The 14,708-nt window shown below is 38.0% G+C and overlaps 1 protein-coding gene across 10 annotated transcripts in view; it reads right to left on the bottom strand.

The window, feature by feature from the left end:
• ATP8A2 (ATPase phospholipid transporting 8A2) overlaps window positions 1-14,708 on the bottom strand; it is a 653,878-nt gene that overhangs the window by 198,206 nt on the left and 440,964 nt on the right. The window lies entirely within an intron of this gene.

Here is a 14,708-nt window from a genome sequence, read left to right as displayed (position 1 = left end):
GATGTCTACCACCTTGACCAAGGTCAAAACACAATCATATAAAAGAAACATGTTCAAATCATTTTTTGAAGTAATGAGAGATGTATAAATAAATAGATAAAATGTGGGCTGTTATTCATGCCTTCAAGTAGTCTATGATTCTAACCGATTAGGCAAGACTGATATAAAAACAACTACAGAGCCAAGTGCCAGGATATAATTAGTGTACATGACAAGGGATAAAACACTGTCAGAGACCGGGCGTGGTGGCTCATGCCTGTAATCCCAGCACTCTGGGAAGCCGAGGTTGGCGGATCACCTGAGGACAGGAGTTTGAGACCAGCCTGGCCAACGTGGTGAAACCCCATCTCTACTGAAAATACAAAAATTAGCGGGGTGTGGTGGCACGCACCTGTAATCCCAGCTACTCGGGGGGGTCTGAGGCAGGAGAATCGCTTGAACCTGGGAGGTGGAGGTTGCAGTGAGCCAAGATAGTGCCACTGCACTCCAGCCTGGGCGACAAGAGCAAGATTTCATCTCAAGAAAATAAAAACCAAAACAAACAAACAAACAAAAAAAACAAAAAACACTGTCAGAAAAGGAAAGATCATCCAGATGTAATCTGAATACACGGAGGCAGCAGGACTGGGGTAGAAGAGGGCCGAGCCACCGGGAGGACAGAAACCTGACTTAGAAGGAAGCAAACATGAAAATATGGAATTCAAAAAGTTGCTGCTGAATATTCAGCTACATTTATATGAGATGTGATCATCCAGATGTAATCTGAATACACGGAGGCAGCAGGACTGGGGTAGAAGAGGGCCGAGCCACCGGGAGGACAGAAACCTGACTTAGAAGGAAGCAAACATGAAAATATGGAATTCAAAAAGTTGCTGCTGAATATTCAGCTACATTTATATGAGATATGAGAGTCTGATTGAGGGCAGACTTTAGAGTGTCCCATACAAATCATAGAATCAACGTTATCTGTGTCACATCATCACAGACAGAGACCGCTGCTGTGGTAGAACCTAACTGGCAACATAGAACAGACACCATGACAACCAGAGTTGAGGTCAACTCTGGTACTGAAATTTTACTGAGGCAGATTTTTCAAAATCAGTTTCTTGACTCCACCAGACTGCGTTTCTTGAAGCAGGAATTCTTCCCCATGCTGCTCTGTGCACTACTGTATCCAGTATGATACTTGGTACAAACAGGTACTCACCAAGTCCCCGTGAGATCAAATTAAATGCCAAATCAAGTGCTAGATGAAGTTTTCCTTAAATACAGCTTTCACCTTGTCATTACCCTGTTCAAAAAACTACTAGGGCTCCCTCCTAAATCCAAGATAAACTTGCTGACTTTCAAAAATCCTTCCACACTTCTATTCACTCTTAATTTCTTTTTCCTTTAAAACTTTTTATTTTATTGTAAATTGACCCTTTATAACTGTATGTATTTATGGGGTACAAAGTGATATTAAAGTTTCCAAGTTCAGTGTAGAATAATTAAGTCATTCTAACTAACATATCTATCACCTCAAATACTTATTTTGAGGGTGTGAGAATATTTGAAATTTACTCTTAGCAACTTTGAAATGTACAATGCACTATTAATTATATTCACCACACTGCACAATGGATCTCAAAAAACCCCAAACAACTTATTCCTCCTGTCCGAGACTTTGTACCCTTTGACCATCACCCCAATTCCCTCCATCCTCTGTCATCACCATTCTTTGTAGGATCTGATGCTCTCTCTCCTAGTCACTCAATTTCAACTACCCTTCCAAGAGGTCTGGCTATTCTCGGTGAAGAAATATTGGTGAAGAACTAAGAACCAGAGATTCATGCTGTGTTCTGTGCTTGGAAAATTCCTACAACATTTATTCAAATAATAGCCATCCCTAAAACCACAATTTCAACCCCACTCTCTCCCTACCACTGGAGGTCTTGGCAGTCAATACTTCAACCACACTTTTAGTGCAATGAGAGCCTGGATCCACATCAGATTCAAACACATTAGTAAACTGTTTCAAGGGTTTTAAGTTAATTTTCCCAAGACTGTGCCATAATTCTGAGTTCTCCTATTCAAACAATTGACCAAAAAGATATCTAGTGGGTATTTTATTTTATTGCAAAATCCAGTTAACATGTTGTCTTGTTATCAACTAAAAATAGAAAAAACAAATAAAAATAGAAAAGAGCCTGGGCATAGTGACTTATGCCTGTAATCCCAGCACTTTGGGAGGCCAGGGGGAGAGAACTGCTTGAGCCCAGGAGTTCATGACCAGCCTGGGCAACATAGTGAGACCCCATCTCTACAAAAAATAAAAAGTTAGCTGGGTGTGGTGATGCACACCTCTGTAGTCCCAGCTACTCGGGAGGCTAAGGCAGGAGGATTCCTTGAGCCTAAAAGGTGGGCAGCAGCAGTGAGCTCTGACCATGCCATTGCACTCCAACCTGGGCTATGGAGTGAGACCCTGTCTCAAAAAAAAAAAAAAAAAAAAAAAAAAAAAGCAAACACATACACAATGAAACTATGAGTAGCTTTAATTAAAACTACAAATGATATACAATAGATGCAAACAAATATGATCAGATTAGACCAAATCAAGAGAGAATGCCCACAGCAGACCGAATCTACAGATTAAACCAAGTAAAAAAAGTTTTCAAAGAAATAGGTGAAACAACGCAAGAAATAGCCAAACCAACTCTAATTTAGAGGATAAAATAGATAAAATATAGAGGTCAGGGCAAGCAGAGGCAGAGGTTGAATCCTGGATGGATTCAACACAGCAGGCAAATTAAAGCTGAAGGGCAATATGCTTTTTCCCTCCTTTTTTTCAGGAATCAATCAGGGAAGACAGCAGGGCAGTATAGAAAATATAAATGACAATCAACTTGGCAGACACTGATCAAGTAAGTTTCAAGGTGAACTGAAAAGAAAAAAAATGCAGAATCATCCAAGAGAAACCTATAACACACAGAAATTTCCTCTAGGGCATACAGGCCTCCTCTCCTAAGGGAAAGAAACAACAGCAAGGGAGGTGCTTATGATTGCAAAGTGATAGGAGACCAGAGCAGGAAGTGCTCCAAGACAACTTGGAATCCCCTTTCCCCTAGACATCTTCCAAAAATATTATAGAAAAAAATAAGAGGATATGACAAACGCACATGAAATAATCTTTCCAGGAGAACAAGCCACACGGCCGAAGAAAATCTCAAACATTCTTGGTGAGACTAAGAGAGCTAATGAAAAAGTGAATTTTCTTTGCAACGAAAGTTACAATAAGATGTCTAATATAGCAAAGAAAGAGACAAATAGGAAGAGGTCATTGTTACAAACTGAAGCTACCCTAAAGAGAAATGAAAGCCAGAATTGACACTGCTAGCAGGGTTCAGTGACTCATGTCTGTAATCCCAGCACTTTGGGAGGCCAAGGAGGGTGGATCACCTAAGGTCAGGAGTTTGAGACCAGCCTGGTCCAACATGGTGAAAACCCATGTCTACTAAAAATACAAACATTAGCCAGGCGTGGTGGTGCACACCTGTAATCCCAGCTCCTCAAAAGGCTGAGGCAGGAGAATCACTTGAACCTGGGAGGTGGAGGTTGCATAGAGCCAAGATTGCACCACTGCACCCCAGCCTGGGTGACAGAGCAAGACTCTGCCTCAAAAAAAAGAACTGACACTGCTGAAACCACACGTAGAGATAGGTAGTAAAGCTTGAGAACACAATTCTCAGCAAAGGTCAGAAGACTTTAAAGATAAGCAAAAAATTCCCAAAAAGATGTATTTTAAAAAAAGAGGAAAATAGAAGTTAAAAAAATGTTCAAAGATATAACAGAAGAAAATTTTCTGAAATACCCTAATCAGCCAGTAGAGAGGGGATCCTTCATCCTAGGAAACAAAACAAGCAACAGACACAGAAAGATCAATACCCACACATGTCCTGCTATAGAAATTAATGAGTTTTAAGATTTTATAGGATCAATTCTTCAGTATATTCAGACAGAAAAAGTAACAAAGAGAAAAAAATCAAGAAGTCTTCCTACTTCTCTCTAGCAGTACACAATACCAAAAGAGAGTAAAAGATGTTTACAAGTCCTTAGGGAAATAAAGTGTGATAGGAATTTTAGTAAAAGATAGAAACCAAGGAAACATCAAAAGCTGAAAAGTAACATAAAATGTGATGACAGAAGTAATATTAAACACGTGTCTTATATTAATAATAAAAAATAAAAGCTCAGGTGGGTAAAAAGATAAAATCCAAAATATATGCTACATATAAGATAAACATGTCAAATGAACATGAAAAAGACACTATTCAAAGAAGATCAGTTTCTTAGCTTGGATTTACAAAGCCCAACATACAATAAAAGTTCAGATGGATAAAAAAATAAAATCCAAAATATATGCTACATATAAGAGAAACATGCCAAATGAACATGAAAAAGACACTCTATTCAAAAAAGATCAAATTCTTAGCTTGGATTTACAAAGCCCAACACAATCAGGCCCCCACCTATCTTTCTGACAACACTGCATCTCCTCCAGTCAGCTACAGTGGCCTTCTGTTGGTTCCTTGCAGGCACCAAGTACGGACCCAGCTTTATTATTTTGCACCTAAATATCAGCAATTATGTCAACAGCATTTGTTTAATAAGTCATCTTTATCCCACTTGTTTGAAATGTCCCTTATCACATGATAAATTACCATAGTATTTGGAAAAGAATATGTAGTATTTCAGTCTCTATATACTCAAATGAATTTCAGATGCCTTGAATATTTAAGCACAAAAAACAAAACTCTGAAAGCATTGGAAGAAAACATGAAAACCATTATTTTGCTCTATGTGAAACATGACTCCTGTAAGACATTAAACTTAGAAATGAGGGACAAATTTGAAACTAATTTCTATAAATACAAATATTAACAAAGTTGAAAGAAAACTGATATTAAATGAATAGTACACACATATTTGGAATATCTATGAAAACAAAGGCCCAATTTCTTCAATATATAAAAAGTTCTTACAAATCAGACAGAAAGAACCCTACAAGCTGCTAGAAAAATGGGCAAAGAGTATATGGAGTGTGATCACAGGGGGAAGAAAAGGCTTAGAAACACAGGAAATCTCATTTTTATTAAACATGTACACAAATGGATATAACTGTTTTTCTTATCAGATGGGTAAAAATATAAAAGTTTGGTAAACTGGGGAAACAACACTGTAATACCCAGCTGGTGAGATAGCATTGTCTATAAATATGTTTAATTTAGTTTTCGTTTGAACAAGTGATTCCACCTGTAGGGACATACTCTAAATTATACCTTATAGCTCTAATCACATAATATTCAACACAAAAATATAATGGTATGGCATTATTTGGAAAACAATGCCACACCCTTATATATGGAAAACAAAGAACTAGAGCCTGCATGTATATTGAAAGCTGGTTAAAGAAATTACGGCTCATCCTGTAATGAACTCTAAGTAAGTTTAAAAAGATTTAATTTTAAATATAAGTCCCCATGCACTGCAAGATAAGAATCTCACAGATACATTAAAAATGAAAAAATAAGGGTAGTATTGAATGGCCATGACTGTGCAGAACAGATGTACATACTCATATATGCATGGCAACTTTCTGGGAAACATAAGGGATCATTAATATTCATCATCTTTAGGTGGTAGAAGTGTTCTCTGGGGGAAAGAGGGAGACTTGTTTAACACATTCATGTTTTATTTATATAGCTGTTTCTAGCAGTAATTCTCAGCTAGGGGTGATTTTGCCTCTGAGGAGACATTTGACAGGATCTGGAAATGTTTTTTACTGTCACACCTTGGGGGAGGAGCCTACTGGCATTGAGTGGGCCAAAGATGCTGCTGCTAAACATCCTACAAGGCCCAGAAGAGCTCTCTACAGCAAAAAATCATATAGTCCAAAATGTCAATAATGCCACTGTTGAGAAACCCTAGACTAAAGAAATAAGTTTATTTGGTCAACCCGATACAAAACTTAGAAATCTTGTTTCTAACAGATGTTTGTTACAAACAAAATAATAACATGTGGCTGGTTGCATGAAGCCATGATTCTGCTTATATGTATGGGAGCTTGGGTTTAGAAAGCTTTACTCTTTTTCAAATAAAAAGGAATAACAGATTCCTATAACTGGATATGAATCTGCTACCTTCACAAATTTGGATCCTGAAAACAAACACATAACTTTGTAAATTATTAATGAGAAATTATTTCAAAGACTGAGTGAATTCGGTATAATCAAGACACGCAAGCTGTTGAAAACATACGAGGGGGTAAAAATCTTAAGAAATCTAGCATCTCCTTCCATGAACTGACCTTGTTGACATTAACATTGTTCCAAGCAATACTGAGTCATGTAAAAAGTTTCATTCTTCATTTCATTTAACATTGTTGATTAGCTGAATGTTGGGATATTTCCTCTAAGCAGCCAGTGTTCTGATTCTGTCCAAGTTGGCACTGGATTGGCCACATGTTTCTTCAAAGACTTTTGATATGTTTGCACTAATTTTTATCAGTTGCAGGTGCTGCAGCTTTTTGAGAAGCATAAACAAGCTCATTCTCAACATTTTCAATTCAATTTCAATCTGCATTCAAATAATCCATCATTAGATGATTGGACCTGTTTATTTCATCGAAACTATTTACTTGGTAGAGAAAAAAAAAAACAAACCCAAAGCCAACATAAACAAAACAAACAAAAAAATCCACTTCTTAATTTTAAAATCCATGAGCTGGTTTTCCCTTACATTGAAACGCTCAAATTTGATTTCATTTTGGCAAGGTTTCCATAGGTGAAATGGGAAAAGTATGAGAAGGCAGTGTATTTTTAAATATTTATACAAACGTACTTAGCTTTTATTTTATTTATTCATGAGACAGGTAAACGATGGCTCTCTGACACATTATAAAATCAGACTTTCACACTAGTAAGTCATATACAAATGTTAATTCATACACCAAAAAGACAGCACCACCCAATTCCTAAATATAAATGTCATTTTTGGTGGGCCACAAGTTCCCAGCTGTGTACACTAAACGCAGAGCCTTCAATACAAACAGACTGTCCGTCCCCCATTTGACGTGCAGTTACTTGGATGGTGGCTTGCTTATAGCCACTAAATTTTACTCTTGGACTAATGGGAAAAGGATTCCTCTGCCTTTAGTTTCTTGTTAACTAGGAATGCTGTTAAATGAATACAGTCAAAGCCCAGAGAGCCAGATCCCTGCAGGATGGCCTCAGACTTGGTGAGCTGGTAGGAAGACTTGCCAAGCACTGCTGGCTTGCCAAGCTCCTGGGGTTTTTGGTCCTCAAATGTAGTGTTGTTATGAGCAAACTGACCCAAACTTATTAAATGGCTTTTCCTTCTTGGAAAAAAAAGACCCTTCTTTGCTTTAACTGCTGCCTGACTGCCAAAAACACAGTAACCGTCTTGGCTAATTGCACAGGCTCCTGTCTGGACGTCCCGCTGCCATCGTCCAACCTCGGCGGGTTGTACCTGCCGCCACTCTCAGGCTCTCAGCTAACAGCCGACACTTAACAAACGACTACTTAATGTGGAAAAGGGATGACCTGTTCTTCTATTTACTCTGCTCTTTCAGGATCCCTGGTAGAGGACTGAAGTGAAAAAGTACCCTATGGAGAATAATGAGGTAAATTAACATATGGTTTCTTACTGAAGTGGCAATAACATCACGATCTACTAATTTGCATATCAGGTCTGGGCTGATAAACTGGCACCAAAGATATCTGTTTAAATGTCAAAATGCTTCAGGTTTTTTTTGAAATTTGATCTGGCCATATGTAGTAAGATAAAATATAAACATATACTTTGTCTAGAAATTCTATTTCTGGAAATCCACTTCTCATAAATGAAAGCAGCGGTATATAAAAACCCATCTTGTTTTGCAGTATTGTTGGTAGCAGAAAACAAAATAGAAAGCACAGACAAAAAAAAAAACAAAAAACCCTGAAGTTCTTTAGTAGGGGGTGATTGCAGCAAATCTATGAACTAGAAACACCTATCTTTTAAAATGTTAAATTTATAAATATGGAAATGAAACAATGCCCAAGAAACAGCATGAGATTGACAAAGGAAAAGGCAAAATAAATAAATAGGTAAGTAGGCAGGAAATCAAGGGAAAAAGATCAGAAATGCTATTATAGAGCAAAGGTTGTCAGGAATAATAATAACAGTAGTAGTAGTAAGACACCCTAGAGAATCTTTTTCTGTTCAATAAATTATGGGATGGAGTGGCCAGAATTAAATGGAGACCAGAGAGGATACCGTGATAATGACAGGGCCTCATCTATAAAATCTTTGGAGAGTTTTCTATTGCTGACTGAGTCTTGGGTAGGTAAAATGCCAGCAGCAAACATCACATACTAATAACACTTCTAAGGACTTTTCAAGGCAAACCAACAAAGTTACAGAGCAATGCACAGAATCCATTTTTTTTTTGTAAAAACCACAACAAAAATGCTGTATGTTTACATACATTTGTATGAGTGCAAAGAAAAGTATGAATGGTTGGCCAAACTGTTTCTATTGATTCCTGAGCAGACATGGAGCCAGAAGAGGGCAAGTTATTTTTTCCTTATACATTTTTATTATCAGTGTAACAAATAAGCATCACTTCAACTTCAAAGAATTATGTAGAAGAAGAGAACTTGCTTGTCTTTATCACCACACCGCACTCATTTTTCTCTTCGAGCTTGCCACATTCTGTAATTTTTATTGTATTGTTATCTGGCTACCCCATGTGCTCAGAGATTATATTGATTCCACTCAATATCGTACACCTAGGATCTAGCACACAGGTGGGCACACAGTAGGTGCTCAATAAATGGATATATGCAGAATATTAATACTTGATGTTAAAGAGAAAAGCTCACTAAAAGAGCATGTTAAATAAGAAAACCACACACTGCAGAACAGTCATTTCTGTTATTTTTGATGATGATACAGGCTAAAGTGTATTTATGGCTTACTCAGTTCCAAGAACCTTGCAATACTCTAGATGAATTATCTAATTTAAATATCTTAACAATCCTAACAAAAGGTGTTATTCCATTTCACAAATGAGGAAATCGGGGCACAGAGAAGATGAAAGATATTATGGCTCATATCAAATAGGTGTTTAGTAGACTGCAGCGACTAGCAGTCAATCCTACTTATTTAAAAGTAATTTTTAAAACATTTAAGTTAAGGCAATTCAGAATCAAATCAGTATTTATGGCTACTAACTTATTATATTACTGATACTTTAAGATGGTCACTTGAACAAAATACTTAACAACTATAAGCACATAAGCACACCAAAAAATTTATGAATTATCCAGATCTTTTTCCTTGAGTGCCAAGGGATCCTTTTAAGATTAGGGTATAAGCTGTTTGAAAAGCAAGCTTTAAAAATCTTCCCCATTTTGTACAACAAAATGCAACCACTCCAGTTTAAAATATATCTGGCAATATTTTGAGTGAAAATATTGCAATCTTTTGCTAATATGGTTGAGACTGGCCTAGCAGACAATCAGAAGTAATCTTCTCATCTTTCATTATCCAAATTCCTTGAATAAAAAATAACACAAATTAAATACTAATGGGAAATCTAGGTTATGTTTAAAAGGACTTGAGGCTGGGTACAGTGGCTCCTACCTATAATCCCAGCACTTTGGGAGGTTGAGGCAGCAGGACTGCTTGAGCCCAGGAGTTTGAGATCAGCCTGGGCAACAGAGTGAGACCCTGTCTCTACAAAAATTTTTTCAAAAATTAGCTGGACATGGTGGCACATGCCTGTAGTCCCAGTTACCTAGGAGCCTGAGGTGGGAAGGTTGCTTGAGCCAGAGAGGTTGAGGCTGCAGTGAGCCATGATCGTGCACAGACTCCATGACATCATATCTCAAAAACAAAAAACAAAACAAAAAAAAAGAAAAAGAAAAAAGAATAAAAGGACTGGAATTTTAATCTTGAGAGTATAAAATAGAAATTATTACATGGAAATAAATGTAGCAGATGAGGTACACACATACATTTTTTACTTTAGTCTGGCATTTTCTTTTCCGTTAAAATCCCAACTAACGCAAGAAAGTTGAATCTTATAGCTCAAAGTCACAAAAGTTAGTAAAAAGAAGTCTGGTAAACATTTAAAAATTTTCTTTAATTACTCATTTCTCAGCGTTATAAAATGTCTCTGTTTCTGCAAAACTACATGCTTACTCTATGGAACATCAGGTAAACACAAAATCGTGTTTCCCCCCCCCCCCATAAAAGACCATAATACCGACCAGATGGGGTATGCACAATTAAATTGATTTTTAATAAGAAATTCTTGGCACAATAGAACATAATCGCTCCAAATTGTGTCAAGGACTTCGTAAATTTTTTTTATAGTTCAAGGCTTAGACTCTTCAGTCCAAATTCTGAGCTGGCTTGCTAGGGGACTGAATAGCTCTTGAGACCAGTAAGGAAATAATGAGCCTTTCATCTGGAGGTCACTGGTTAGGATCTGCTGTCGTTCATTAATGACACAGCTGTTTCCAACCTCCTGGTGTTGGAACAGTGGCAGGGGGTCTATTATGGAAGGGGTAGCAGAAATATGTATAAGATCACTTCATTTATGGACAGGATCTATGGCAAATATTTGAGAACATGTGTTTTATAACCAATAAAGTCACACCCTTAACTTATTGACAGTAAGATTTAGTGCCTGGCTGCACAGACTAGGATCATCAGAAGAGAATTCTGATGCTATCCCTCTATTCCCATCAGCCACAGTGAGCCTGTGGCCTGGGCAAGGTGTGAACTTGCTTTGTGTCTCATTTTCTGGTTTTGGAAAGTAGAGCGAAAGGTCTGTCTACTCTCCCAGCGGAGGGTTATAAGGAAAGAATCACATATATATATTTTAAAAATTCAGTTACTGAACTGTTTACTAAGGCCCTGCTTCAAGTTTTGCTCTGTGCTATGGGTAGGAGTTGCAAAGGTGAGACACCATCTCTGTCCAACAATTCACTCTGTTTGGGGACAGGCATGGGACGTATCTGAAGTGCAGAAAAGTTCTTTGGGAACACAGGAGAGGAAGAAACAGGTTACGTCTGGAGGAGTGAGCACAACTTTTCCAAATGTGGTGGCCACTTGGGCTGGGTCTTGAAGTATCAGATTCCATTCAGCAACTGGGTGCGGGGAGAAGGGGCACTGAAAGTAGAGAGAACAACTTGTACAAAAGCCTAGCAGGTGTGAGCTGCCAGGTGGCTGGAACAAGGAAAATGAAGTGAGAGAAGAGGGCTGGATTCAGACCGTGAAGGACACTAGACATGAATTCTCCAAATACATGAGCAGCTGTGCACACATTCCCTAAGAGAAATCTAAAGATCCATGTATCTACAAATCTCAAAAACTATCTCAATATGTTTTATGTCCTTTTTGGTATGGTAAAATATACAGAACATAAAATTCACCATTTTAACTGTTTTCAAGTGTGCAGTTCAGTGGTATTAAAAACATTTACCTTGATGTGTACCCATCACCATCATCCATCTCCAGGACTTTTTCATCACTCCAAACTGAAATTCTGTATTAATGGTATTAATTAAACCATTAAACTCTATATTAATGAGTATTAAGCAACTCTCCTCTCCCCACAGTCCCTGTTTTGCCTCTATGAAATCATGCAATATTTGTCCTTGTCTGTGTAGCTTATATTTCTTAACATAAAGTTTTATTCATCCATGTTGTAGCATGTATTAGGACTTCATTCTTTTTAAGGCTAAATAATATGCCATTGTATGTATATAGCATACTTTGTTTATTCATTCACCCATACATGGATATTTGGGTTGTTTCCACTTTTTGGCTACTGTGAATAATGCTGCTATAAACAGTGGTATAAAAACATGGGTTCAGTCCTTGCTTTCAATTCTCTGGGATATATACCCAGAAGTAGAATTGCTGGATCATATAGTAATTCTATGTTTAATATCGTGGAGGTACAGCAATACTATCTTTCAAGTGGCTAAACCATTTTACTTTCCCAGCAGCAATACACAAGAGTTTCAACTTATCTACATACTCTGTAACTCTTTTTTGTTTTCTATTGATAATAGACATCCTAATGGGTATGAAGTGGTATCTCAGTGTAGCTTTGAATTACATTTCCTTAATCATCAGTGATGCTGAGCACCTTTTCATTGCTTATTGGATATTTGCATATCTTCTTTGGAGAAATGTCTACTCAAGTCTTTCGCCCATTTTTGAATTGGTTTTTTGCTGTTGTGTTTAGGAGCTCTTCAGATATTTTGGATATTAATCTCTTATCGGATATATGATTTGCAAATATTTTCTCCCATTCCATAGGCTGCCTTTTCACTCTGTTGATAGAATCTTTTGAAGGGCAAAAATGTTGAATTTTGATGAAGTCCAATTTGTCTATTTTTTGGTGTTGTTGCCTATATTTTTGGTGTTCAAGTAAACACTGCCAAATTCAATGTCATGAAACTGTCCCCTTATGTCTTCTTCTAAGAGTTTTATTGTTTTAGGTCTTACGTTTAGGTCTTTGATTCATTTGGAGTTAATTTTTTTTTTTTTGAAACAAGGTCTCACTCTGCCGCCCAGGCTGGAATGCAGTGGTATAATCACGGCCTACTGCAGCCTCAGCCTCCCCAGGACTCAGGTGATCCTCCCACCTCAGCACCCGCCTCATCCCCATGAGTAGCTGGGACTACAGGAATGCGCCACTACAACTGGCTAATTTTTGTATTTTTATTTGGTAGAGATGGGATTTCACCACGTTGCCCAGACTGGTCGCAAATTCCTTGGCTCAAGTGATCCACCTGCCCTGGCCTCCCAAAGTGCTGGAATTACAGGTGTGAGCCACTGCATCTGTCCTGAATTATCTTTTTCATATGGTGTTAAGTAAGGGTCCAACTTCATTATTTTGCATCTGGATATCCAGTTTTCCTAGCCTCATTCGTTGAAAGGACTTTTTTTTTTTTTTTTTTAATTGAATGCTCTCGGCACTCTTGTTGAAAATCATTTAATTACATATTCCAGGGTTTACTTCTGGGCTCTCTATTCTATTCCATTGGGTCTACGTATCTGTCTTTATGGTAACACACACTGTTTTGACTACTGTAGCTCTGTAGTAAGTTCTGAAATCAGGAAATGTTGAGTCCTCCAAACAGATTGTTCTGGCTATTTGGGGATCCACTGGGCTTCCATATGAAGCTTAGAATAGGTTTTCCTGTTTTTGCAAAAAATGTCACTGGGATTTTGAGTCTACAGACTCAATGCAATCTCTACATATTTGCATTTAGGTAACATCTAAAATTTTTAATGATAAGGATAAATAGTTGTAAAAGATATAATTTCTGGCATATTATAAATATTAAAACTATAAAATAAATTTACATCACTTTTTAATGTGGCTAATGGATTCTAAATACCACAGATATTCATCACAACCCACTTTTAAAAAGACATTAACAAGCACTTAATGAGTGTGTGTGTGTGTGTGTGTGTGTCTGTATGTGTGAGCACATGAAGAGATTCATTATAAGGAATTGATTCACGCAATTAGAAAGGTGGGCAGGTCCCAAGATCTGCAGAGGGGGTCTGTAAGCTGGAGACCCAGGAAAAGCTGATGTTTCAGTTCCAGTCTGAAGGCAGGGAAAAAAGGCTGATGTACCAGTTTGAAGGCAGCTAGGCAGGAGGACTTTTACTCACAGGAGGGTCAGTCTTCTGCTCTCTTCAGGCCCTCAGCTGATGGGATGAGGCCCACCCACATTAGGGAGGGCAATCTGCTGTCCTCAGTCTCCCTATTTAGATGTTAAGCTCATCCAAAAGCATCCTCACAGAAACACCCAGAATAATGTTGACCAAATACCTGGGCATCCCATGGCTCAGTAAAGTTCATATAACATTAACCATCACAGGGTACTGGGGACACATGGCTAGAACCTCAATTCTGGAAATGCTTCTATGATCTCCCCACCTCCACAAGATTCCATTCAGTGTCCTTTCTCTGTTCCCACAGCCTCATCACAGGCCATATTATATCGTATCATCATATCCTATCATATACCGTATCATCATATATCATACCATATCATATATCATACCATATCATATATCATATCATCAGATCATATCACCATATTATATCACATCATCATATCACCATATCATATCATACCATCATATATCATATCATATCATATCATATCATATCATATCATATATCATCATCCTGGCTGGCTTGCCTGTCTCTCCCACTGGACTGTGAACTCCTTGATGTCTTTGCAGTGCCCTGAAGACCTTACTCTGGAGTCAGACCAACTGGCTAACATCCTGGCTCTCCTACTCTTAGCTGTATACTTAGGCAACTTTCTTTTTTTTTTAATTTTATTTTAAGTTCTGGGGTACATGCGCAGGATGTGCAGGTTTGTTACATAGGTAAACATGTGCTATGGTGGTTTGCTGCACCTGTCAACCCATTACCTAGGCATTAAGTCCAGCGTGCCTTAGCTATTTTTCCTGATGCTCTCCCTCCCCAACCCCCACAGGCCCCAGTGTGTGGTGTTCCCCTCCCTGTGTCTATGTGTTCACACTGTTCAGCTCCCCATGCGGTGTTTGGTCTTCTGTTTCTGCGTTAGTTTGCTGAGGGTAATGGCTTCCAGTTCCAT

The sequence above is a fragment of the Homo sapiens genome, chromosome 13 (assembly GCF_000001405.40).
Source record: "Homo sapiens chromosome 13, GRCh38.p14 Primary Assembly".
In the NCBI taxonomy this organism is placed as follows: Eukaryota; Metazoa; Chordata; class Mammalia; order Primates; family Hominidae; genus Homo; species Homo sapiens.
This window is presented reverse-complemented; position numbering and strand designations above follow the sequence as displayed.